Consider the following 25,936-nt stretch of genomic DNA (forward strand, 5'->3'; position numbering starts at 1 on the left):
ATGAACATCGATGCAAAAATCCTCAATAAAATACTGGCAAATTGAATCCAGCAGCACATCGAAAAGCTAATCCACCATGATCGAGTTGGCTTCATCCCTGGGATACAAGCCTGGTTCAACATACACAAATCAATAAACATATTCCATTACATAAACAGAACCAATGACAAAAACCACATGATTATCTCAGTAGATGCAGAAAAGGCCTTCGATAAAATTCAACACCCCTTCATGCTAAAAACTCTCAATAAACCAAGTATTGATGGAACATAGCTCAAAATCAAAAGAGCTATTTATGACAAAACCACAACCAACATCATACTAAATGGGCAAAAGCTGGGAGCATTCCCTTCGAAAACCCACACAAGACAAGTATGCCCTCTCTCACGACTCCTATTCAACATATTATTGGAAGTTCTGGCCAGGGTAATCAGGCAAGAGAAAGAAATAAAGGGTATTCAAATAGAAAGAGAGGAAACCAAATTGTCTCTCTTTTCAGATGACATGATTGTATATTTAGAAAACCCCATTGTCTCAGCCCAAAATCTCCTTAAGCTGATAAGCAACTTCAGCAAAGTCTCAGGATACAAAATCAATGTGCAAAAATCACAAGCATTCCTATACACCAATAATAGACAAACAGAGAGCCAAATCATGAGTGAACTCCCATTCACAATTGCTACAAAGTGAATAAAATACCTAGGAATAAAACTTACAAGGTATGTGAAGGACCTCTTCAAGGAGAACTACAAAGCACTGCTCAAGGAAATAAGAGAGGACACAACCAAATGGAAAAACATTCCATGCTCATGGATAGGAAGAATCAATATTGTTAAAATGGCCATACTGCCCAAAGTAATTTATAGACTTTATGCTATCCCCATCAAGCTACCATTGACTTTCTTCACAGAATTAGAAAAAAACTACTTTAAATTTCATAAGGAACCAAAAAAGAGCCCGTACAGCCAAGACAATCCTAAGCAAAAAGAACAAAGCTGGAGGCATCACATTACCTGACTTCAAACTATATTACAAGGCTACAATAACCGAAACAGCAAGGTACTGGGACCAAACAGATATATAGACCAATGGAACAGAACAGAGGCCTCAGAAATAGTGCCACACATCTACAACCACCTGATCTTTGACAAACCTGACAAAAACAAGCAATGGGGAAAGGATTCCCTATTTAATAAATGGTGTTGGGAAAACTGGCTAGCCATATGCAGAAAACTGAAACTGTACCGCTTCCTTACACCTTATACAAACATTAACTCAAGGTGGATTAAAGACTTAAACGTAAGATCTAAAACCATAAAAACTCTGGAAGAAAACCTAGGCAATACCATTCAGGATGTAGGCGTGGGCAAAGACTTCATGACTAAAACAGCAAAAGCAATGGCAAGAAAAGCCACAATTGACCAATGGGATCTAATTAAACTAAAGAGCTTCTGCACAGCAAAAGGAACTATCATCAGAATGAACAGGCAACCTACAGAATGGGAGAAAATTTTTGCGATCTATCCGTCTGACAAAGGGCTAGTGTCCAGAATCTATAAGGAACTTCAACAAATTTACCAGAAAAAAACACAACCCCATCAAAAAGTGGGCAAAGGATATGAACAGACACTTCTCAAAAGAAGACATTTATGTGGCCAAAAAACACATGGAAAAAAGCTCATCATCACTGATAATTAGAGAAATGCAAATCAAAATCACAATGAGATACCATCCCATGCCAATTGGAATTGTGATCATTAAAGAGTCAGGAAACAACAGATGCTGGAGAGGATGTGGAGAAATAGGAACACTTTTACACTGTTGGTGGGATTGTAAATTAGTTCAATCATTATGGAAGGCAGTGCGGTGATTCCTCAAGGATCTAGAACAAGAAATACCATCTGATCCAACAATCCCATTACTGGGTATATACCCAAAGGATTGTAAATCATTCTACTATAAAGACACATGCACACGCATGTTTATTGCAGCACTATTCACAATAGCAAAGACTTGGAAATAGCAAAGACTTGGAACCAACCCAAATGCCGACTGGATAAAGACAACGTGACACATATACACCATGGAATACTGGGTAAATAATGGAACACTATGCAGCCATAAAAAAGGATGAGTTCATGTCCTTTTCAGGGACATGGATGAAGCTGGAAACCATCATTCTTGGTAAACTAACACAGGAGCAAAAAACCAAACACCACATGTTCTCACTTATAGTGGGAGTCGAAAAACGAGAACACATGGACCTGGGGAGGGGAATATCACACACTGGGGCCTGTCAGGGGATGGGCGTCTAGGGGAGGGATAGCATTAACAGAAATACCTAATGTAGATGATGGGTTGATGGGTCCAGCAAACCATCATGGCATGTGTATACCTATGTAACAAACCTGCATGTTCTGCACATGTATCTCAGAACTCAAATTATGAAAAACAACAAAACAAAAGGGTGTCTTCTCTATGACTTTCTGACTTTCTGGCATCAAGATAGTACAAGCAAACAGTCTATCACTCAATCAACCTCTCAATCTGTCAGTGTTCATTGAGAGCCTCCTATTTGACAGGCTGAATGATAGGGGCTGAGAGTGAGCTATGAACAAGTTCTACATTGCATCTGCTTTCAGGAAACCTACAGTCTAGGAGGGAGGCTAGACACTGAGAGAAGAATTACTAAATGGGATGAGCATTTCCAGAGGGGAACATGCAGGTGGTGTGAGGCTTACAGCCCAGAGATGCCTTCTCACCTTGGGCTTGGATGAGTGTTCACTGAAAACATGTTTTCTAAGCTGAAACTCTTATTCAAGGATGAACAGAATTTGGGAGATGAAGGACAGGGAAAAGGCATTCCAGACAGAGCGATCAGCATGTGTAATCACATCTTACCAGCATATGATGGTAGGAGAGCGTAGGGGCACATTTAAGGAACTGAAAGACCTGTGGATCTGAAGCAAAATAAGCCAAGGGGAGAATGGATTGAGACGGGGTTGGAAAAAGAGGCAGCAGCCAGATCATAGAAGGTTTGGCAGATGATCAAAATGGCTTGGGGCATTTTTCTAAGGGTCGTCCAAAGCCATTGAAGGGCTTGTGGTGGTGGGGTGTTGTGATCAGAGTTGCATCTGCTATATAGCTGGGTGGCCAGAGTGGAGTCAGGGAGACCGGTTAGGCTATAGTGGGAGTCCAGGTAGGAGGATGATGGGCTCATCTCTGGTAGTGGCAGTAAGGAGTGATAGCAGGGCATGGATTCCAGACATAGATGACCTGTAGGCTTAGTTAAGGGTATTTGGGAGGTAAGGGAGGAGGCAAGGATAACAGTAGTGAGTGCAGTAATAGGGACTCAAGGAGGGTATACAGACCTGTATATATGTGATGAGATGTATGCCTTGAGTCTGGGAGCTGAGCCCTGGAGATTCAAGGGTCAGTGGCACTGGGGGGCTGGCACTGTGCTGGAGTTTGGGTGCCTTCCCTTTCTTTCATGGCCCCTGCCTGCAAGTAGCTCACCTTCTATGAACTGTATTTTGCTCATCTTTGTTGTTGAAATGCTGTTTCACAATTATTTGCTCTTTCAAAAACATGTGACTTTCTTACTATCTTTAGAGGAGAGGCACTGCAGGTGAGCCTCATCAAAAGCACTTGCAGAAATCCATCATGAGCCAATTAGAAAACTTAGGAAACATGTCTGATATGGAGGAATCTCATGAATATGATTCTCCTGGCAATGCAGGCAGAACTTTTTTCCAGCAGCGTGCATACCTCAGGACAGCTGAGGAGGAGGTTGCTGCAGCAATCGACTGCTCCTCCCTTTCTGCGCTTTGCTTGGCATGAGAAAGGAACCGTGGCAGGTGGGGCTTCGAGACCCGCTTCTCAGTCTGATGTGAAGACGTGGGGAATGATAGAAATGCATATTCCAAATTCTTTTCATTTCCTTGTAGACAGGATTGAGCAAGGATCTTCCATTTGTTTACACACTTGGTGAGTGAGTAAACCACTCACACGCTTAGAAACAAACCAGTCCACCATAATGAAACTGGAAGGAACATCAGAGATCCTGCAGTTCAACAGATGCTTCTGAGAAATGGAGAAGAAGTGAATTAAGAGTCAGTTTAAACTCAGTGAAAGGAAACTGAACTGGAATCAGAAGAAGGTAGGCCTGAAGTTTGCGTCGGGTACATACTTGGAAAGTTATGTAAGCTCTTGAGAATAATTCCTTCCTTGCCTGCCTTTGGCAGTTTGCTGTGAGGGTGAGATGAACGAATGAGCAAAGCCCTGGGTCAGGGCTTTGTAAATAGCAGTGGCAGTTCTTTCCTAATGGCATTGCATCAGTAGCTGGAGAGCAAGCAGTAAGGTGAGGTCCTCTGAGTCAGTCTACTACGCCCACGTTACTGTCTTTAAAAGTTACATTGACCTATGGGCGGTTGTGTTTTTCCCATGTCACTGTCTTTAGAAGTGATGTTGACCTATGGACTGTTGTGTTTCTCCCATGTCACTGTCTTTAGTAGTGACGTTAGCCTATGGGCTGTTGTGCAGTTTGGAAAAAAACAAAATATGGGTGACTTATATGCACACTAGAATGGCTAATTAAAAAGATAAAAAAATGCCAGGTGTTGGCAAGGATATGGAACAACTGAAAGTTGCACACACTGTTGGTGGGAGTGAAAATTGGTGTGACTGATATGAAAAACTGTCAGTATCCACTAACCTAAACATGTCTGTATACTATGACTGAGTTATTCCATTCCTAGGTACACACCCAAAAGAAATGAAGGCAAAAGTAATCTGCTAGAATGTTCATAGCAACATTACTTAGCCAAAATCTGAGTAGTATTCATATACTCATTAAAGATAGAATGAAGTCTGTTTATACAGTGGACTACTACACATCAATGAGAACAAACTAAGCTACATGCAACAGTATGGATCAATCTTGCAGACATAATGTTGAACAAAAGAAGCCAGACACAAGACTCCATACGTACGATTTCACTTCTATAAAGTTCCAAATAGGCAAAACCAATATCAGGTATTAGGTATTAAGATAATGTTTACCCTTGGAGCAAGAGCGTGACCATAATAGAATGGAGCATGAGGGGGCTTCTAGGATGAAGTTGATGTTTTATTTCTTTTTCTGGGTGCAGTTCAGTATTTGAAAATTCATTGAGCTGTACACTTATGAATTATGCATTGTCCTGTCTTCTGTTATGCTTCAATTAAAAGCTAAGCTAACAAGGAAAACAAAACAGAACTCAAGGGTGACCTCCACGGTGCATGGCAGGGTGCTAGGTGGGCCTGCCCTCCTCCCCACAGCCTGCCATAACTAGATCTCTGAGGATGTTGCTGCCTCTGAAGGTGTTAAGCAGCTGCTCTCTCTAGCCTTGTACTGTGGGACGCCTGGCCTTGGCTTTGATGCTGTGGCTGCTGGTGGAGGGGTCATAGTCGATGGACCTGCCTTTCCCTTCTCTCCATCTCTTCATGTTCACCTGCCCCAAGCCCTCCAGCCCTCTCAGCTGCATCCCAAATGGAAGCCATGCTTCCCTGGGTCCTCAGAGCTCAACTCTGCCTCCTTTGCCCACCTGCTGCAGTCCAGGTTCCCATCACACAGCTGCCTCTGTACTAGCCCAGCATCCATCACAGAGGACCAGAGTGCGCAGCTGGAAGATGACCTGGCTCTAAGGCGTGCATGCTCACATGTGTCCATGCTGGGGGAAGGGCCGAGACTCACAGAGCATTTCCTAACAGAAGGCTCACATGCTCCAAGGTGTCACTTGGATGAACAGTTTATAATTTAATTGTTATCAATTTATTTTGTTGCATATAAGGAAGGAATATAATCAGTGCACTAAACCCTTGATATTATGTATATTATTGCTTAGGAGGATATTAACTTTTTAAAAATTAGTTGATTTAAATTTGATCTAAAGACAAACATTAAGTATTAGCATATGTGATATGAGGATATGGCAAAAATCATGGAGGTGGAAATTTGGAAAACTGAGGCTGGAAATGGTGGGAGAAACAACATAATGATTCTAATTCCTAACACTGATGACTTGAGAGCCCATGAAGTGCCTTAAGAGAGAGGCTTTTTTTTTTTTTTTTTTTTTTTGCCCAAGCATGAGAAGTTAAGATAATGACCATGACCATTAACCCTTATTACAAATGAAGGAGCAGAGCCCCTGAGGGGCAGTGGTGAGAATACAGGGCTTCAAAGCCAGGCCAGCCTGGAATCACATCCTGACTCCTCATTTTCTTGCTGTGTGACACTGTACAAGTCACCTAGTGTCTCTGAGCAACAGGTTTCTTACCTGTAACGAAAAGCTTTATACCTGCATCATGGGGTTGTTATAAGGCTTAGAAGAGATGTTCAAGCCCAAGAGCCTGTCAGTCTCCTACCCTAGAGAGAGGAGGGGACTTGCATAAGGTCACACACAGAGGCAGATCCAGGCCTGCAACTCAAGACTCACTGCTCCTAGCCCATGCTCTTTCTCTGAGGAGCCATCCCTCATGCTGCTCTGTGAGTCCTTGTTCCAGTGACACAGTGCCAGTCTGGGGGGCGGGGAGCGGGTGGAAATCACGCCTTGGTACGTGGTGGTTTACTCTCATCTCTGCTGGGCTGATCCAGCTGCTGATGGTGAGAGAACCAGTGCTTTTAAGAGGCCTTCATGCGTGATCCCATGGAACAGTGAGTTCAGTCTGGCCAGCCTCATAGGCTGCCAGCCAGTAGGGAGACCCCCACGGCCCTGAAGAGCAATTAGGGGCTGAAAGAAAGGGAAGGAATGCCTCTGTGACGCCAAACCCAGCAGAGCGTGGCTGGTCTGCACAGGATTGTGGGTTGGGTAGGAGCTGGAGAGCCTGATTCCTGTCCCAACAGGAAGCCGCCCATAAGGCCCTTCTGCGGCTGAGCATACAGGAGAGGCCTCTCTCTCTCTGTTGTTCTGCGCACTGGCCAGAAACTGCTAGGTCTGGAGTCCAGCCTGTTCTGCATGGCAACAATTACACAGAAGATTACATTGGAATCGTCTGGCCTTGTAGGAATTACCCAGATAGTTACAGTGCCTGTGAAAGTCTTCCCTTTCATTCCTGTTCTCTCCATCACTCTTTCTTCCTATGCCTGCTCTTTCTCTCCATCCCTCTCCCCTTCTGCCATTCATTGATCCATTGATTCAAGAGGCATGTGGCACATCAGGGGCTTGAGGCAGACAGGCCTGAGTGTGAGCTTGTCTTCTCCTTTTAATATCAGGTGGATGAGACTTCCTCTCTCTTGGCCATTGTTGTAAATCTAAAAGAGTCAAAAACTGTGGTCAAGTTACTTAACCCTTGTGAGCCTCAGTTTTCCTATCTGTGATTTCAACTGTTTCACAAGGTTATAATATTTAAATTATAATATATGCAGGATATTTACCTCAGTGCCTGACACACAGTAAATACTCATTTGTATTTTTTAAAAGATGGGATATAGGCAACTTCATATGGTTTATCCATTATTTTGGTAGCTTCAGCAAAGCTGCCATACCAAATCTCTTTGAGCTTTTGTATCTTTAACCTTTATACAGTGACAGTGTCTACCTTATAGAGCTGTTGTATAGATTAAATGAGCTAATATGTGTAAAGTGCTACTGGTAAGCACCCAACCACTGGTGGCTATTTTTGTTCATTCATTCATTCTACAGATGGTCATGGACTAAGAACCGTGTGCTAGGCCATGTGTGAGGTGCTGGGAGTAGAGAGATGGGTCAAAAAGCTCTCACCTTCAAAAATTTACTGTCCTGTAGGGTTCAGAGGTAAGAGGCTTGAGAATATTCTGTTATGGGGAAAGCAGTGAAGCTTCCAAACTGCTGGACTGAAACTTAGCATCTTAAGTGGGGAGAGCATTTATTGAGCATCTACTCTGTACCATGTACAACACACATGTTATTTCATTGAGCTCTTGACATTCCTCTAAGGCAAGTACGATGTGAGGAAACAGTGGCTCAGAGATTGAAAGTGGCTTGCCAATGTCTATCTAACTGGGTTTCATTATCTTTTACTCTACACAGCTACTTCAGGGAGCAGAGAGGTAGAAATCAGATTGATCTGACTGTCAGGAGTTTCTTCTCACTGAGTCACCCATGAGTTGGTAGAGATATTTGGGGCCAGGGGAGACTTCTGACAGGTTTAGCCTTTTTGCTTGGGACGGGCCATCTGTGATTGAGAAATAACTAGGAAGTTCTCTAGGAGCTGAGGCATGAGCTGAGAATCGTAGAATAATAGTATGAAATCTCTTTAGATCCAAGCCCACTCCCCAAAGATGACATGTTAATGAAGGATCCCAGAAAACCACAGGGTCCCCATTTCCTTTGAAAGGGAGTGAACTGAAATGGAGTTGTATGCTGCACTGTGATAAACTAATGCTCTTAGAATTTTAGCTATTCTTTGTATGAGCTGCTTTGGCAGGGAAATTAGATATGCGGAATTTTGAGCTCTGGCCTTATTCAATTTTTAATTAATTTTTGTGTAATAAGCTGTAAGCACATTAATATCAATGAGATACTTTCTGCACGGTGGCTAATATACAGCTTTAAGGAGCCATGGGTATTGTTTTCCCCTTTATTTGTGTTGAATAAAGATTACTAGTTCTCTAAGTATTATTTGCTGCTTCCTAGAGGCATGGGGAGGCTGTAAGAGAGGAATTAAATATTTCCAGAAGGTTGGGCTGAAATGCTGTCAGAGATATTTCTTTGAGGGCCAAGAGAAGAGCACTATGTGTGGCATTCATCAAAGATTTGACTGTCGAAATTAAAGGTTCCTCCACATTCTAAGAAGCGGTCAAATTAGGGATCTATAGCAAATAAGCCATAGAATTTGGAATAGGATTAGTTCAGTGTTTTTTTGTTTGTTTGTTTGTTTCGAGACGGAGTCTTGCTGTCTTCTAGGCTGGAATGCAGTGGCGCAATCTCAGCTCACTGCAACCTCCACCTCCTGGGTTCAAGTGATTCTCCTGCCTCAGCCTCCTGAGTATCTGGGATTATAGGTGCCTGCCACACGTCTGGCTATTTTTTTTTGTATTTTTAGCAGAGATAGGGTTTCGCCATGTTGGCCAGGCTGGTTTCTAACTCCTGACCTCAAGTGATCCGCCCACCTCAGCCTCCCAAAGCGCTAGGATTACAGGCATAAGCCACCGTGCCCGGCCTTAGTTTGGTGTTTTTATAAGAAGATCTAAGCAAGAATTTAAAAATAAAAATATTTAAAGTATTTAGGTTAAATTGGAGTAATTTTGCTATGTCCCCATAATATGTTGATATTATGGGAATTCATTTATTCTTCCATTCAGTCAGTCATTCTATGGTAACCTGGGCATATACTATGCTTGAGGCATTTTACTAAGCATTATTTAGTACACATTTGTGGAATACAACCTTGTGTTTATAAGACTACGGGCTATTATGGAATAATAAGGCAAAGTGGCAAGGCTCATTATAGAGGTGCAAATTAATGCTGGAATAGTTCAGTGAAGAGATTGTTTATAGAAAAAGGTTAAGAAAGTGACTTTTGAACTGGACCTTTAAGGATGAATAGAATTGAGTCTCATGCAGAAGGAAAGAAATGTTATTCTTGGAGAAGAGCAGAGCCAATCCATATCTAAGAAGAGTGTAGATAGAGTCACCAAATCCAAGGACAATGACAAACATGCTTTACCATGGACATTGATCATGCTCTTCCCTTCTTCATGAATGCCTTTTCCTTCTTCCAGCTGGATAGGTACTCTGTGCCCTGCTAGTCTCTCTTTCATTCCATCCAGAGACAGCCTGCACTAATTCAACTGGCTTGTCTTACATGCGTGGGAACTGAGACCTAGAGAATTAGAGGGGCATGTAGCCAGTGGTTACAGTCTGGACTAGAACCATATTCTCTGTTTATTTTACGTGGTCCTGCCCCATTATGTCACAGAATAGTGGCCAAGAAACATTATACAATGGAAAGGTTCAGTGCAACTTCCATTAAATACTAAATTTGGGGACAGGGATGATTCTGGATAATGGAGGATTATCCAGAAAACCATTATGGTTTTAACCCTTCTTAGTTCTGATCTCTTTTTCACACGTGAATAGGTAGAATATAAGACTCATATTAAATCCCTTTTTGGTTATTGAGGATGTTAAAGGATCCCAGGCCTGTAATTCTGAACATCAATTCCCAAGGCTCTTTATTATTGATGTCAAGACCCATATATCTACTAAAAGTTATCATCCAAAGCCCTGAGGTGAGATTGTTTTCTTATCTTTTGCCTTGTTTCAATGACACAGAGAAAGAGGGAAGTAGATGGTATTTGAGTTACTGAGAGTTCTGATTTAGCAAGATATTATGGGATATTTCCTGAAGTTGCGCTGTTTCAGAGAAATGCACCATTTGGACAACTCTAGCTCAGTGATTCTGAGTTGTGGTGAAAGGAGACATGAGTTTGGGATTGGAGAGATTCTGGGAATGTGGGTCTCAGCAAAATTTGACAGCTTCCTGCCTGGCCTCTCCAGTGCTCCTAGCGTCTCAAGAAACCAGCTTGCCTCACAGCTCTAGATGTAAAGTGTTGTTTCTTCCCCAAAGAAGGGGTCAGATGGGTCCCAGGGAGTTTCCAGGATGGGGAAGTGCGGCTGGCAGTCTCCAGAGGAATCCAGCTTCCCCAGGGCATTTAATGGCTTTCTTCCTCATCCCTCTTCTCTGAAAATTTCTGCCATCACAACCTGATACTCCTTGAAGGACTCCATGAAGAAATAAACCAGGGATGCTCCTTGGTTACAGAAAAAAAATATTCGCCTTTTTGCTCTAGTCCCTAATTTACAAAGATATTCCCTTGCCAAGCACAACAACATCTACCCACAGTGGTTCTACTAACAAGGAGGGACTGGTCAGCAGGAATCCTAGTCTCTCATAGGAAACTTGCCAAGAGAGGAATATGTTTTGGGGTTCAGGGAGAGGGAAACCAAATAGGCCATAGCCATTGAGAACCTCTTTTCAGGCTTAGAGTAAACAGTCCCATCAATTTTTTTTTTTTAGTTGGGGGGCGGGGTTGTCATCAATTTATTGACTCCTCCCACAACTGCTGTTTTGGCAGGAAAATTTATGTCTCTCTTGAGGACCTATCTGACTCTCAGCCCTACCACACTACCCAGGAACCTAATGATTTATGCAGTGTGAAGAATCTTCATACTTTCTCCTCTCATCAGAGGGAGCAATGGCATTTGATGAGTTCAGTGCTGCTATTTGCTTCACACAGAGCATCCATTTAAGACTGGTCTTGGCACCTCTCTCACTGGAGAAGAGTATTAAAGAAAAACACAAATTAAATCCCTGGCATGGCACCCTGCTACAGTGTGACTGAGACTTCTTAGCAGCTGACCGGGACACTCTTAGCCTCCAGATTTCCTTTGACTCAATCAATGAAAAACGACCCATATCAAAATAAGCTTTTCCTCCAAGGGAACCCAAGCTGTGGCTCCTTTGTTCAGTCCCCTCTGCACACATCTGTCAAAGAAATCAAGTCATGTGGCTACTCTGAGTCTCTTTCCTCCCCTGCAGAAAGAGGATGGCAATACTCTCACACTTGACGTGGGCTATAAATGAGATAATGCATATAAAGCTCTATGCAGCTCCTGGCGCACAGCAGGCTTGCAATTGTGCTGGTCCTTCTTCCTTCTGCTTCCCTTTCTTTCTTTTAATAAGAAATAGAAGAGCACATGCAGCTAGGATTACTGAGGAGACACCTGTTATTTTTAACCTGAACCTTTGCCTAGTTATAGGAGGGCAGCATGTTAAGTGTCAAATAGAACCCAGAAAAAATTCTCACTTTCATCTTCAGAATCCAGGTAGAAAACTCCCAAGGGAATCCAGCCTTTGGGACACATGACTTGAAGTCAAATGGCTTCCTGGCTGTGGCACAAATAGTTGTTGTTGTTGTTTTTAATTTCTGGGATGGGGGTCAAGGCGGGGCGGAATTGCAATCTCCCACAGCCATGCCAACAGTGTATTATGAAGATTTAGGGTATTTACCATTCTAACATGTGAAAAATGGCATTTTGATGTGATTTTACTTTTTATTTTTTAAATTATGAGTGAAGCCGAATATCTTCCGTACTCAAAAGCCACTTGTATTTCACTGTCTGTGATCTGTCAGTTCATTGCCTACAGTTGTTTCTTATTGGGTTGTTGATCATGTACTTATTGATTTCTTAAACTTTTTATATATTGGAGAGCTAATCCCTTTCTGATATGAGTTTGAATCTGCATCCCCCCGCTAGTTTGTTTTTTGTGTTTTTGATTGTGTTTGGGGTATTTTTTTTAATGTAGCCAAATCAATCATTCCCTTTAGAACTTCCGGATTCTGGGTCCAAATTAGAAAGAACTTCTTTACCCTGAGGTTGTAAAAGGATTCTCCAATGATTTCTTCTGCTATTATAATGGGTTTTACAAATACGTTTAAATCTTTGAGATCTTTCATGTTTTTAAGAAAACCCAGAAGTCAGGGTTTTTTTTGTTGCTGTTGTTAAATATCCCAATTTTTAATATTGGCAACGAATTTAAAACACACATACACGCATACCATTTCCCAATTTGTTTAAAAGCCTCTGCCCTTTGTCTGTCAGTGTCTGTGGCTTGGAAGGGGTAGCCTAGTGGCTTATCTCAGTACTGGGCTTTGAGAGACACTGGAAATTTTGCCAGCTGCAAAGTGGGGCTGAACCAATTAATGTGGGGCCTCACTGAGAATTAGCTCCTTGACGCATTCAAGCTAGTGTACCTTCTTGGCTGCATTTAATTGGTTTCGCATCCAAAGAGGTAAGTGCTTATCCCTGCTATTACTTACACTGAATTCAGATTTGGATTACCCGAGTTAGGATAAATGCAGCTTGTGTTCTTCCTTCTAAGTCTTTTGAGATCACTGGTCAATGGTGATACTTGAATGCGAAATTTAATACCTTGAGCAGGAATTAAACCTTGAGCTCTATTTGTTTTGCTCTCTTTGGGGAAGTACCTTAGCAGTCATCTTTCCTCTATGCCACCTAGTCATCTTCCTGTCATAAAAATTTCTAAGCAGAGAATCAGGGTGGGAAGAGAAGGGCTGATCAGTAGGACTGACTGTTAACTTGTGAAATGAGCAGAGGTGTACAAGCTGATTGTGGGAAACTTCTTTCCCATGTGATTCTTTCTTCATCCATATCAGGAAAGCTGTTGCCTAAGAACCTTGACGTGTGTGCATTATGATAATGTACTTGGAGGCAAAGGTAAGGTTAGAAACGCCTTCCTGCTAGCTCCACTACACAGCCAAGGAATTCAAAACTGGGTACCTCTAAAACAGAGAGGTCACCTGGGGAGAAGGGGAATGGGGAAGACCCTAAATGGACCTCCATCCTTTTCTACCCGATTGCACAAGCTGATTAAGCCCTCTGTGAAGCCTTTCTAGAATCCCCCAGGTGCACTCAGAGTCTTCTGCTTCTCTTGCCAGATTGGGAGCTCAGTGAGTCCAGAGGTGGTGGTTTCCAGGTGTGTATCCAGCTCTAATCATAGTTCCTGGAGCAGGGCTGGTACTCTGTGAATTGAAAACTTGTGCCAATGCATTTATTTACTGGGCACTTCTTGGCACGGCCAAGGGGGCCAGGACCAAGTCTAAAGGTCTCCAGTCACTTTTCAGTTAACCAATCAATAAAGCCTCACTGGGCTATTACGGGAGTGTCCATACACTTCATAGAAGAAAAAAGACTGGCCTGGGGGTCAGGAGATTTTGGTCTCAATGTTGATTCTGCCAGTTACCCAGTGAGTGACCTTCGGCAGTAGGACTCCAGTCTCTCTGAACCTCAGTTTCATCTTCTCTAATAGGAGGAAGTTAGACCACATCTCTCCACAGTCTCTTCATCTCTGCTGTTCTTCAAGTCTGTTGGTTTAAGGTTGCAGGGAGGGGCCTCTGCTCAGTGATGGCAAATAGAGGAAGAAGGGAGCACTGTTGGCTGGGCACTCCCAAGTGCTGGACACTTTAAAGATTGACATAACATTTTCATTTTAGTTCTCAAAACACTTCTAGGAGGTGGGCATTTTGCTCTCCATTTGACAGATGATGAAGAATCTAAGGTTTGGGAAGATTAAGTCCTGAGACCGTGCAACCAGTTTGCTGAGTGGCCTGAAGTCAGCAGGATTTCATCAGGAAAACACATTGTCTTTTCCCACCAGGGCCTCCAAACTCACTTCCCTGTCACTTGGAGAAACATCATTTCCAGTCCCTTTTAGCTATTAGAAAAAAAGTGGCAGCAGCCTCATCTTGAGTAATTAGAAAGTCTAGCCCAATATAAATGGAAACTTCAATTTCACATTCAGTTTACAAACTTTATCCCTCTCATCAGCTCAAACCTGGTCTAGAGTTCAGGGAGCAATGGTGGGCATGAGGAGACCCTGGCTGTCCTTTCACTCTTCAGTTCCACTTCTTACCCACCTGTCCCCTTACCCCCACCCCTCTCAGTTCTGGCTCCCTAGGGCAGAGCAAGGGAAGGAAGGAATGGGGCAGAGGCCTCTTCATGCAGCTGATGCTCTTTGCACTTTTCGCTTGGCCATCCAATCACCTTTGCTGGGGCAGTTTCCTAGAGTCAGCTCTTCCATGGAGTATGTGGCAGGCTTTCTGAGAGCCTCGGCATGTGGTCTCTGCCCCTAAAGCTGACCCGTTTGGTGTCTTCTCCCCTTCTTCAGTCCCCTCTCGCATAGCCTCCTCAGGCTGGGTCCTCTTGAGACAGTTCAAACCCAGCGACCCTCACTGGCATTCCCTGTCCCATAAGTACAGTGCACCCTTGCCCTGCGAGGAGGGGAGTGAGCAGCAAGCCTAGCTGCTGACGCCATCCCCTCACCTGGCTATCACGGCAGCTTCAGCTCATGGGCAGCAATGTTTATTTTACACACACTTTCAAACACCTGGAGACAGAGCAAGTTCTCAAGAACTTTCTCACTTTGGCCTGCTTCACTAACACCAGGGAGTTGTTTTTGCAAGTTTCTGGAGCTCTGCACACATCCAGTTAAGAAGATATGATGCCAGTCTCCCCTGCCGTGTGGATCAGTTGACAGTTGAGGGTAGAGAGCATCACTTTTCTTTGTCCCCTCCAATTCATCTACAGATGTCCGTGGAAAGGTCCGCTCCTCAGAGAAGCTCCAGCCTCCTCTGACACAGCCTCTTACCCAGGGAGGGTGTTTCCAGGCTAGCTTTGCCATCTTCCAGTAAGTGCTGCAAGTGTGTCAAGCAGCCCTCTAGAACATGGGCTACTTGCCACCAATTATCTTTAGCCTGAGGCTTTAGCCAAGATTCAGACACAATAGAAAAAAACTCCCTTCATGGCCTGCTAAACCTTTATAATGTAAATCTGCCTTATTTTAGCTTTGTTAAAGGCAAAATAGACAGGCAGGTGGAGGGGCATCTCATCCCTGCCTGGAAGCTGCCCACAGCTAGTTTCCACTGCTGTCCCTCAGCCCTGGTCTGATGGTACCAGGGATAAAGAGTGCATCCCTTCAAGCTGTGCTGAGTTGCTGCTGGTTAAAGCCCGAAGTGGGAATCGGCACAGCAGGCTGTTGCTTCCTGGAGCAAGAAGGTAAGCGAAGGTAAGCAGTCATTCTTCTAGTTCTTTGCTGCGTTTAACGACTGCTGAAGCTGGAAGTGTGACAGGGCACTGCAGTGTACCCATCTTAGTGTGCCGCAGGAGGAGGTCCTGGGGGTGGGCAAGCATGCTATGCTGAGAAATGAGACCAACCACTGAGCACAGAAGCCACAAAAAGACCCTGCCTCCATGGTTTTCAAATTTTATTTCTGTTTCAGAAAATATTGTTCCAAGAAACTCTTACCTGGAATTCTGTTGCACTAGAACAGTTTTTCTGGCCAAAGTGAGGTTGGGGCTGGGTGCTGACCCCATCCTTCTTGGTCTCCTTCCTCTCCTTGTGGTTCTGATAGGGCTGTAAGGAACCTTTGGAATTTACAGAGCAGAGAGTAACAAACAAACAAACAAATGCCTGGTGTCGGAAGATAGAATTTAGATTAAGAGCAAATTTGCAGGACTGGGACCTTCTGTAGAGTCTATCAAGATGAAATATAGTAAGCCAAGATTTGCACATATAGGTGCAAGGTAGAGAGTGCTGGCTTAGCAGCAGCTAGGAAAAACACAGCTTTTGGATTTTGCCATAACACACATCACATTTTCCAACATACATCATAGTGTGATCTGGTTGTCGAAAGTATTGATAAGACTGGGTGCGGTGGCTCATGCCTGTAATCCCAGCACTTTGGGAGGCCAAGGCTGGCCGATCACCTGAGGTCAGGAGTTCGAGACCAGCCTGGCCAACAGGATGAAACCCTGTCTGTATTAAAAATACAAAAATTAGCTGTGTGTGGTGGCACAGGCCTGTAATCCCAGCTACTTGGGAAGCTGAGGCAAGAGAATCACTTGAACCCGGGAAGTGGATGTTGCAGTGAGCTGAGATTGCACCACTGCACTCCAGCCTGGGCAACAAGAGCAAAACTCCGACCAAAAAAAAAAAAAAAAAGCATTGATAAGCTTGAATTCACATTCTGTGAATGTGATGAAAACCCAGAATCCTTCTGTAGAAATTGCCACTTTCCTCTCCTGTGGCCCACCCCTGTCATCATTGTTAATTGATGTTTATTGATTAGGGGAGAGCATTTGAACTAACCCATAGGCTGATCAGCAGCTGCTAGGACAAACTGCAGCTAAAACATTTCATGACTGAGTTGGTGGTGATTAAGGGAAAAGATCATATTCTCTCCCTGTGGAAGTGTTGAATTTAAGTCATAGAGAGTATGTTGGGAAAAAAACCACAAATGGCACACTCACAAGAAGGCAGGCAGAAGCCAAAAGGCGTCATGGACAGTGAGGAGGTGAAAGCCAGGATGAAGCAGCCACTGAGAAGACATGGAGCATGGAGAGCGAGGCAGTGGGGGAGTGGGTGGTATGGAGAGCAGCAGAAGTCAACCAGGAAGGAGCTGGGGCCCCCAAGGTACAGCTAGGGTGTCCCTGTAGTGGAGACTGCACTGAATTCTAGATTTCCCTGCAGGTTTCAAAGCATGTTCCAGTACTAATCCATTCCAGGGTTTCTGTGAGGCCCAGGTTCTTGTGTTCTTTACCCTCATTTGAATCTCCCCAATAACTCTTACCGCAGCTGAGGAGAGCTGCTGCTGTCCTCTGAGGCAATTCTTACTTTTCAAAATGCCTCAAACCCAAACACAAGAGTCCAGCTCACCCAGAACCACAGTGTCCTGAAGGCACTGATGTTAACCCCATTCCTTTCCATATTGCTCAAACTGTGGCCAGCTCCTGTCACTTCAGTTTTCACTGGACATTGACAAGCTGGAGTATGTTCTGAGGAAGAGTCCTGGGAGTTATGCTGTATAGAGGACTTTGGGGCAGAGACAAGGAAAAGATAAGAGTTCAGACTTCAATTCTGTCTTCAAATGCCTGAAGGGTCAATATGTAGAGATGGCACTATATTTTGAGAGGATGCCTCTAAAGGGCAGATACAGGACTGAAAAATGGAATGTTTGTGGAGGTCAGTTTCAGCTTTCTAACTGGAAGTACTCTTTAACACTAGAATGTGTTACTTCATTAAGTGGTGAGCTCCCCATCAAAGAGGGCAAGCAGAACAGGATGCTCTACCTGGAATTCTCTAGAGGAAATTTCTGCATTTGATGGGGCACCAACAAGGTAAAGCCCAAGGTGCCCCGCAAGCATGAGATCCTTGGCTTTATTTTGTGCCTTTTAATAGCAAACAGATATCTGGTCCTGCTGACCTGCCTAAAAGGAGGAAATGAAACTTGTTGACTATTGCTTTTTAGGACTGAATTTGGAAGGAGGCAAAAACAAATCTATTTTCAGAGCAGCAAATGCCAGCACAATTTACATCAAAACCCCCATCTGCTCAACTGAAAGGCGGTGGTATGGACCAAGCATTTTGTGAGCCAGCAACAGGCTTGCTTGTTGAAGAATGTTAGCTCCATGGGGAGTCTCTGATTAGGCCCCTGAAGCTAACTGGGGCCTTTATATTAACTTCTTGCAGTTGTGACCACTGTTGGCAAATTGTATTTCCCCCAATTCAAAGGCAGATCATTGCTTTTCAAAAGATCTCACATCCAATTGAATGTTTAAAGTATTATATGCACAAATAAAATCTGTATTAGAGAAAAGTCTCAAAAAATAGAAATGTATTAGAGTAAATAATGCTGGCTGCTGTAAGAGATGAGCCTCAAAATCGCAATGGCTTAACACTTCAGCATCTGGCCAATAGGCAAAGGAAGAGAGAGCAAGAAGTATCATGCAGGAAGTGTAGGTGCCAGGCTTGGAAGTAATGACTATTTTGCACACACTCCATTGGTGCAAACAAATCACATGGCCTCTGTTGGATGAAAGGAGAGTGGAAAATGAGCCAAAAAAAAAAAAGAGGAGAACATGGATATTGGTGAACACCAGCAGTCTGTTATAAGAAACAGAAGATGTGGTTTTCCATGTGTCTCAAGAGATGGATACTACAAATTTATCCATGAAATTGGACCAAGGCATCAGATTTTACACACAGTAGATGCTCAGTGGCTGATGAGGTACATATTAAAGATATTAAGGCATCTTGGTCCCTGGAGGGAGAAAGTGGCACTGGGGTTCATTTCTGTGTGATTAGGTGATGGAGAACTGAAGCATTTTTAAAAGCAGAATTCATATGTCAGAATGGCCAATGTTTTATTATTGATAATTAGAAAAAGGAGAATGAAGAAGTTGGAGAGCAAGAAAGGAAGTGAGGAGTTTTTCAGTGTATCCTTGAGAAGAAGAAAGGAGCTGAGTTGCCACCAGAAGCATGGAATCCAGAGCCAGACTGGACATGAAGCTACCAAGAATGAATACACAGTGATTTATCCCCAGCTTTGGGGCACATTTCTTTTTTAGCTCCTTTAGAAAATAAGTATTTTAACAGCTCCTAAGGCATTTTCCTCTTTTGCAAAATCAAATTACTCTGAACTGGGAGGTGGAGTCAACACCTTGGCTTTGTTATAAATGAGACTTCAAATATCACAAAGATGTTCGTTAACATTATACATGGAAATATCAATTGTCACGTGAATCTCTCATATTTTTATGGTCAAAAGAAGCACAGGAAAGAAGCAAAAGGTTGTGGCTTTTTTTTTTTTTTTGCCAAGCTCTTTTCAGCAAAGATAAAAACAGCCTTTATTTTCTCAAAATATGTCTCAACTTCTCACACTGATATCCAGTTCTTTGAAATCTTTTCTTTCCTTTATAATTGATAAATAATTATATATATTTACGGGGTATGGTATAATGTTTCAGTACATATATACATTGTGGCATGATCAAATTAGACTAGCATATTCGTCACCTCAAATATATATCATTTCTTTGTGGTGAAAACATTTAAAATCCTCTTTTTAAACTATTTTGAAATGTACAATACATTATTATTAATTATAGTCACCATGCTATGCCTATCTAACTGAAACTATATCCTCCGACCAATGTCTTGCCTTTCCCTGTCCACCTTTCCCACCCCACCACCAGCTTCTGGTAACCACCATTTTACTCTTTCTTCTATGAGTCTGGCTTTTTTGGATTCCATATATAAGCGAGACCATATCGTATTTGTCTCTCTGTGCCTGGCTTATTTCACTTGGCATAATGTCCTCTAGGTTCATCCATGTTGTCACAAATGGCAGATGTTTCTGTTTTTTTAATGGATGAGTAATATTCCATTGTGTATACATACCACATTTAAAAACTCTATTCATCTGTTGATGGGCATTTCAATTGTTTCCATATCTTGGCTATTGTGAATACTGCTACAGTGAACGTGGGAGTGCAGACATCTCTTTGACATTGATTTCAATTCCTTTGAGTATATACCCAGAAGTGGATTGCTGGGTCATGTGGTAATTCTATTTTTAGTTTTTCAAAGGACCTCCATACTGTTTTCCAAAATGCCTATACTGATTTACAGTACCACCAACAGTGTACAAGCGTTCTCTTTCTTCCATAGTCTCACCAACACTTGTCATCTTTGCCTTTTTGATAATAGCCAGCCTAACAGGTGTGAGATGATAGCTCATTGTGGTTTTAAGTTTCATTTTGCTGATGATTGAGATGTTGAGCATTTTTCCTATATCTGTTGGCCATTTGTATGTCTTCATTTCAGAAAGTATTCAAGTCCTTTGCCTATTTTTTAATACGGTTATTTGTGTTCTTGTTATTGAGAAATTTGAGTTCTTCATCTATTTTGGATATCAGCTCCTTATCCAATGTATGATTTGCAAATATTTCCCCCCAGTCTCTGTGTCGTCTCTTCATTCTATTAATTGCTTCCTTTGTTGTGGAGCTTTTTAGTGTGATGCAGTCCCATTTGTTTATTTTTGCTTTCGTTGCCTATGATTTTGGGGTCACATCCAAGAAATCATTGCCCAGACAAGCATCATAGAGCTTTTCTCCTATGTTTGCCTCTAGTAATTTTTCAGTTCCAGGTCTGATATTTAAGTGTTTAAGTCTTTAATCCATTTTGACTTGATTCTTATATATGGCATAAGTCAAGAATTTAATTTCATTATTCTGCATGTAGATGTCCAGTTATCCGAAAATTGTTTATTTAAGAGACTGTTCTTTCCCCCATTGTGTGTTCTTGGCATCTTTGTTGAAAAGCAGTTGATCATAGATATGTGAATTTATTTCTGGGCTCTGTAGCCTATTCCATTGGTCTATGTGTGTTTTTATGCCAGTAACATGCTGTTTTGATTACTATAGCTTTGTAATACATTTTGAAATCTTGTAGTGTGATGCCACCAAGCTTTGTTTTTTTTCCTTTGGTCAATATTGCTTTGGCTATTTGGGGTCTCTCATGGTTCCATTGAATTTTAGGATTGTTTTTCCTATTTCTGTGAAAAATGACATTGGAATTTTGATAGGGATTTCATTGAATCTATAGATTGCTTTGGGTAGTATGGACATTTTAACAATACTAATTGTTCTACTTCATGAACATAGGTTAGAAGACATGGAAACACCTTTCCGTTTATTTGTGTCATCTTCAATTTTTTATCAATATTTTATGCTTTTCAGTATACAGAGCTTTCATTTCCTGGGTTAAATCTTATTTTCTTTGATGCTTTTATAAATAGGATTGTTTTCATAATTTCTTTTTTCAAATAGTTCATTGTTAGTGTATAGAAATGCTACTGGTGTCTGTATATTGATTTTATATCCTGTAACTTTACTAAGTTCTTTTATAAGTTATAACACATTTTTGGTGGAGTCTAAAGGATTTTCTATACATAAGATCATGTAGTCAGCAGAGACAGTTTCACTTCTTCCTTTACTATTTGGATGCCTTTTCTTTCTTTTTCTTGCCTAATTACTAAAATGAGGTAGGCAAGACTGTGAAAGCAGCAGTGCATTTCTAGATAATGTGATCTATCACAAAGGAAACTGACCACTCATGAGATAAAGCTACTACTATCAACTCATTTAACTGGAAGGTCCCAGGTTCATTAGTTTCTGATTACTTAAGGCTAACCAGACAAATACTTTTTTCCAATCCTTGGAAAACTTTCAACTCAAAACCCACTATCTTCCCAAATGTACATGGTAATCTCTGCTTGATGACTGAGGATTTCACAGTGTCTTGGTGTCATCCTTTAAATATTTATTCCTATCAATCAGATTAAACCTGTATCCAAGTGTTAATATATACAATCTGTTTCCAACCCCACCCCACACTCTGCTTCCCTTTTCTCTTTTCCATCCCCTTCCTTCTGTCCTCTTGTCTTTCTTTGCACCATTATTTTCCAGCAAAATTAACTCTGGAAAATACTGGGGACAATAGTCTTTTATACCTTTGGCTGAATTCCTTCTTTAGGCAGTTAAAGCTCACAAATGGGTCAAATATCCAAATGTCTATTTGTAAAAAGGTTGTTGCATTTCATCAAATCTCAAAAACCATTGGTTATAACATTCACTATGATTTATGTGCCACTCAGAAAAAAAAGTTACTGCCAATTAAACTATGAAACGATGCATTCTCATCACTTCAAATGTTTCTACCCATTATAAAGTTTTCTTATACTTAACTAGACATAACTTTCTATCATATAACTATTGTGCAAGCATAAAAAAGACAGGCAAAATACATTGAATAAGTATTCCTCAAACATCTCCAATTAGAGGCTGAGTTTTCAGAATCACTTCTGAGTCATTGATATGTGTATTTTTCTCCATAATATCACCCTCTGTGCCAACATAATCACTGGTGATTTAATGTCTCTGGAATGAATTCTTAAAAGAATGAAAAGCCTTCACTGGGGCTAGGTTCCAAGCCGCCTCCTTGGCAATGACATAAAGTGCTTCTACTTTTGACTCTGGCCTCACCTGACTTCTGATCCACTATCACCCATCCCTTGTTCTATAGTCATTTCATTCTCAGGGTTAAAAGAGGAGTTCCCTGTGGCCTCATCGTTGTGCTTTAATGTGCACCAAGGTACTCTCCATGGACTGTCTTGTCAATCCTTAACAGCAACCTCATGGGTACTATTGTTATCCCAGTCTACAGGTGAAGAAGCTGAGGCTTCCGAAGATTAAGTAGCAGTCATCAACCACTGTGTGTGGCAAGACAGGGAGCAGGGGAAGCACAGGTTTGGATGCAAGCAGCCCTATTCTCAAATCTTGTCTTTAGCCCTTGTCACCTGTGCAATCCTGGGGAACTTATTCTGTATCTCAGAGTCTGTTTTACCAGCTACTATGATCTGTTTTTAACTCATAACACTTCTAACACCAAATGTGAGGGTTTTCCACACCAACAACCAATTTTCATACTCTCCAGACACCAACCATTCCAACAATTCCATTCAATTCTGACTCTAACTACCCAGTGACATTGACCAATCAGCTATAAATTAGGATTTTCCACACCTCCTTCCTTGGGTTTGATAATTTGCTAGAATGGCTCACAGAACTCAGGAAAGCATTTTATTTACATTGACTGGTTTATTATAAACGGTACAGATTAGTAGTCCAAAGGAGAGTTGCATAAGATGAGGTCTGGAAAGATCCTGATTGCAGGAGTCTCCATTCTGTAAAATTAGAGTGTGCCACCCTCCTGGCATGTGGATGCATTCCAACCCAAAGGCTCTCTAAACCCAAAGGCTGTCTAAACTTAGAAGTTTAGAGATTTTTTTTTTTGTAGAGGTTTCATTAAGTGGCATAATTGATTAAATCATTGGCCATTAGTGATTAGCTCAATCGCCAGCCCCTCCCTCCTCCCTGGAATTGGGGAGTGGAGAGGGCTGATTGCTCCAATCCTCTAATTGCATGGTTGGTTCCTCTGGCAGCCAGCCCCCATCTTGAAGTTTTCTAGGGGCCCACAAAGGGTCACCTCATTATCATAAACTCAGGTGTGGTTGGAAGGGGCTTGTATGAATAGCAAAAGATGCTCCTTTCACTCCTATGGCTCGGGAAGTTCCAAGCGTTTTAGAAACTCTCTGCCAGGAACCCAAGACAAAGACCAAATATATATTTCTTATTGTATCACAATATCATACCAGCTAAGTGGCAGTGATACACACTGGGGTCTATAAGAGGGTGGAGGGTAGGAGGAGAGAGAGGATCAGAAAAAAATAACTAATAGGTACTAGGCTTAATACCTGGGTGATGAAATTTTGTACAACAAACCTCCTGAAATGAGATTACCCTGGATCATCCAGATGGGCACCACATAATCACACCGGTCCTTAGAAAAAGGATATAGGAAGAGTCATTCATTTTACTTATGTAACAAACCTGCACATGTACCCCTGAATTTAAAAGTTAAAAAAAAGTGGCAGTGATAATATTGACCTCACAGAGAGGTTGCGAGCTGTGGATGGGATAACCTATGTAATAGGCCCAACATGATACCTGTGTTTATTTTCTATGTCCCAATGTGCTCATTCACATATTTGGCTCCTTAATCATTCATACATGACATGATCAAGAAATACATTTTTATGAATGAACACTGTGACTGATGCAATTTCCTAGGTAACTGAGGGTTAATTAGAAATCCTCTTTTGTTTCAACCCTTGTTAAAAATCCTTAGAACATGTCAGAATTCATTTTTCTTACATGCGCTGAGCGTGATTTAATCTTCCATTCATTCTGAACATCAGTCCTCATTACCCAGGGCTGCAGGTATAGCCAAGGATAATGTGGGATATTGAGAGTAACATACAAATTGGTTTAAAAAAATTAATTACAAGTACAATTTTTAAAAGTAACTTACCCTTTTGACCAGACCTTCAGCAAAACGCCCATGTATTTGAAGTTATATAATTAAAAGCTAGATAATAGAAGCATTCTTTCTTTATGTTCAATTGCCACTCAAATGTTTAGTCGATCACACACGTAAAAAATAATCTTTCAGGGCCTACTATGTGTCAGGCAAATGGCTGGTATACCAGATGGACGTGGTTGCTGTCTGCATGAAGCTACTGTCTAGTGGGGAGGACAGACAATTAGCAGGGGAGATAGTGGGTGCTATGGGAAGCCATGGCAAGAATCCCAACTCAGTCTTAAGTTGTCAGTCTTGGGTCTAGTGAGGGTGGTGGTGGTGGTGATGGTCAGGACAGGGAAGGCATCCTGAAGGAAGTGATGGTTAAACCAAGTGCTTCAGGATGAGTTGGAGTTAGGCAAAGGGAAAGGTTGTAACCTGTACAAGGGTGTAACTAGTATTGTCCAAGCTGCTGGGGTCGGTATGGTTGGAATAGAGGGTGGGTCTGGGAAGTTGAGAACGGGGTAAGGAGAGGGGCTAGGTTATGCTCCTGGCTGATTGTCTCATGGGAGTCTTATATAACTCTAGTCATTCATTCTTGCATTGAACATTTATTTGGTACTGAGGATGCTGAAAGTACTGACTGTGTTAGGTTAAGTGCAGTCAAGTATGGTAAGGGGGTGAGAGATGGGCACAGAATACCAAGCCATGGCTGTCTTGTTAACTGTTGAACCTGACTGCCCAGTCTACACACCTCCTGGCATCGACTAGGCATTCAGTGAACTCTAGGTGATTGACTAACTCAATGAATGAATGGAGGCTTGGTTTAACCTTCACCCTCCCTCAACAACTATTCCCATTATTTTCTTTGTGCAGGATAAACATCTTGAAACACCTCTGCCCCATCGCTAAGTAGGCCAATCTTCCACAGCGTCTAGAAACCAGTACAGAAAAAATGCAGTTTGACCTTGCTGTCATTGTTTGCAGTGTAATGAGGAAAACAGGCATTAAATAACTAACCATACAAATAATTGTGTAATTAAAACTGTGGCACATGATACAAAGAAGATGTACAGGATGATGGAAGGGCACATAAAGGAGAAAGCCCAGGAAGCCTTTATTGAGATATTGATGTTTAACTAGGTTTAGAAGGGGCAAAAGGAGGTGGGAAGAATGTCTCATGCCGGGGGAGGAATACGATGCAAAGGCCTTGGCAGGACAAAAGGCCAGTGTGGCTGGACCCTGGGGATCATCTAGGAGAATGGCTGGAGATGGATGGGTCTAGAGCCTGGAGGAGATTCCCCTACAAGGTCTCTCAGCCATGTTGGAGATTTTGGTTTTTGACTTAAGAGTCCTAGTGAGATATTGAAATGTTTTAAACATGAGAGATATGTGATCAAATCACATTGGCTGCTGTGAGGAGAACAGATCGGAGAGGTACAAGAAAGGACACTGGGACACACACACACACACACGCACACACACACACACACACACACACCCTTCAACAGGCTGACAATGCCCTGTGTACAGATAGCAGTAAGAGCATGAAACTGAGATCTGATTCAGAGAAGACTGAAGTCATTGCACGTCATTTCTTCCTAATCTTTTAGAAACAACCCACTCCTTCATT

The 25,936-nt window shown here is 42.1% G+C and overlaps 1 protein-coding gene across 11 annotated transcripts in view, besides 1 other annotated feature; it reads left to right on the plus strand.

The window, feature by feature from the left end:
- Nucleotides 1-25,936, plus strand: part of NAV2 (neuron navigator 2) — a 776,366-nt gene that overhangs the window by 70,434 nt on the left and 679,996 nt on the right. The gene's annotated exons all lie outside the window — the stretch shown is intronic.
- Nucleotides 16,719-16,919: a silencer, noted in NCBI's record as "peak1231 fragment used in MPRA reporter construct". NCBI's record gives its function as "represses an SCP1 promoter by STARR-seq MPRAs in K562 erythroleukemia cells {active_cell/tissue: K562}" and the evidence as "EXISTENCE:reporter gene assay evidence [ECO:0000049][PMID:32103011]".

This window comes from Homo sapiens, chromosome 11, assembly GCF_000001405.40.
Source record: "Homo sapiens chromosome 11, GRCh38.p14 Primary Assembly".
In the NCBI taxonomy this organism is placed as follows: domain Eukaryota; kingdom Metazoa; phylum Chordata; class Mammalia; order Primates; family Hominidae; genus Homo; species Homo sapiens.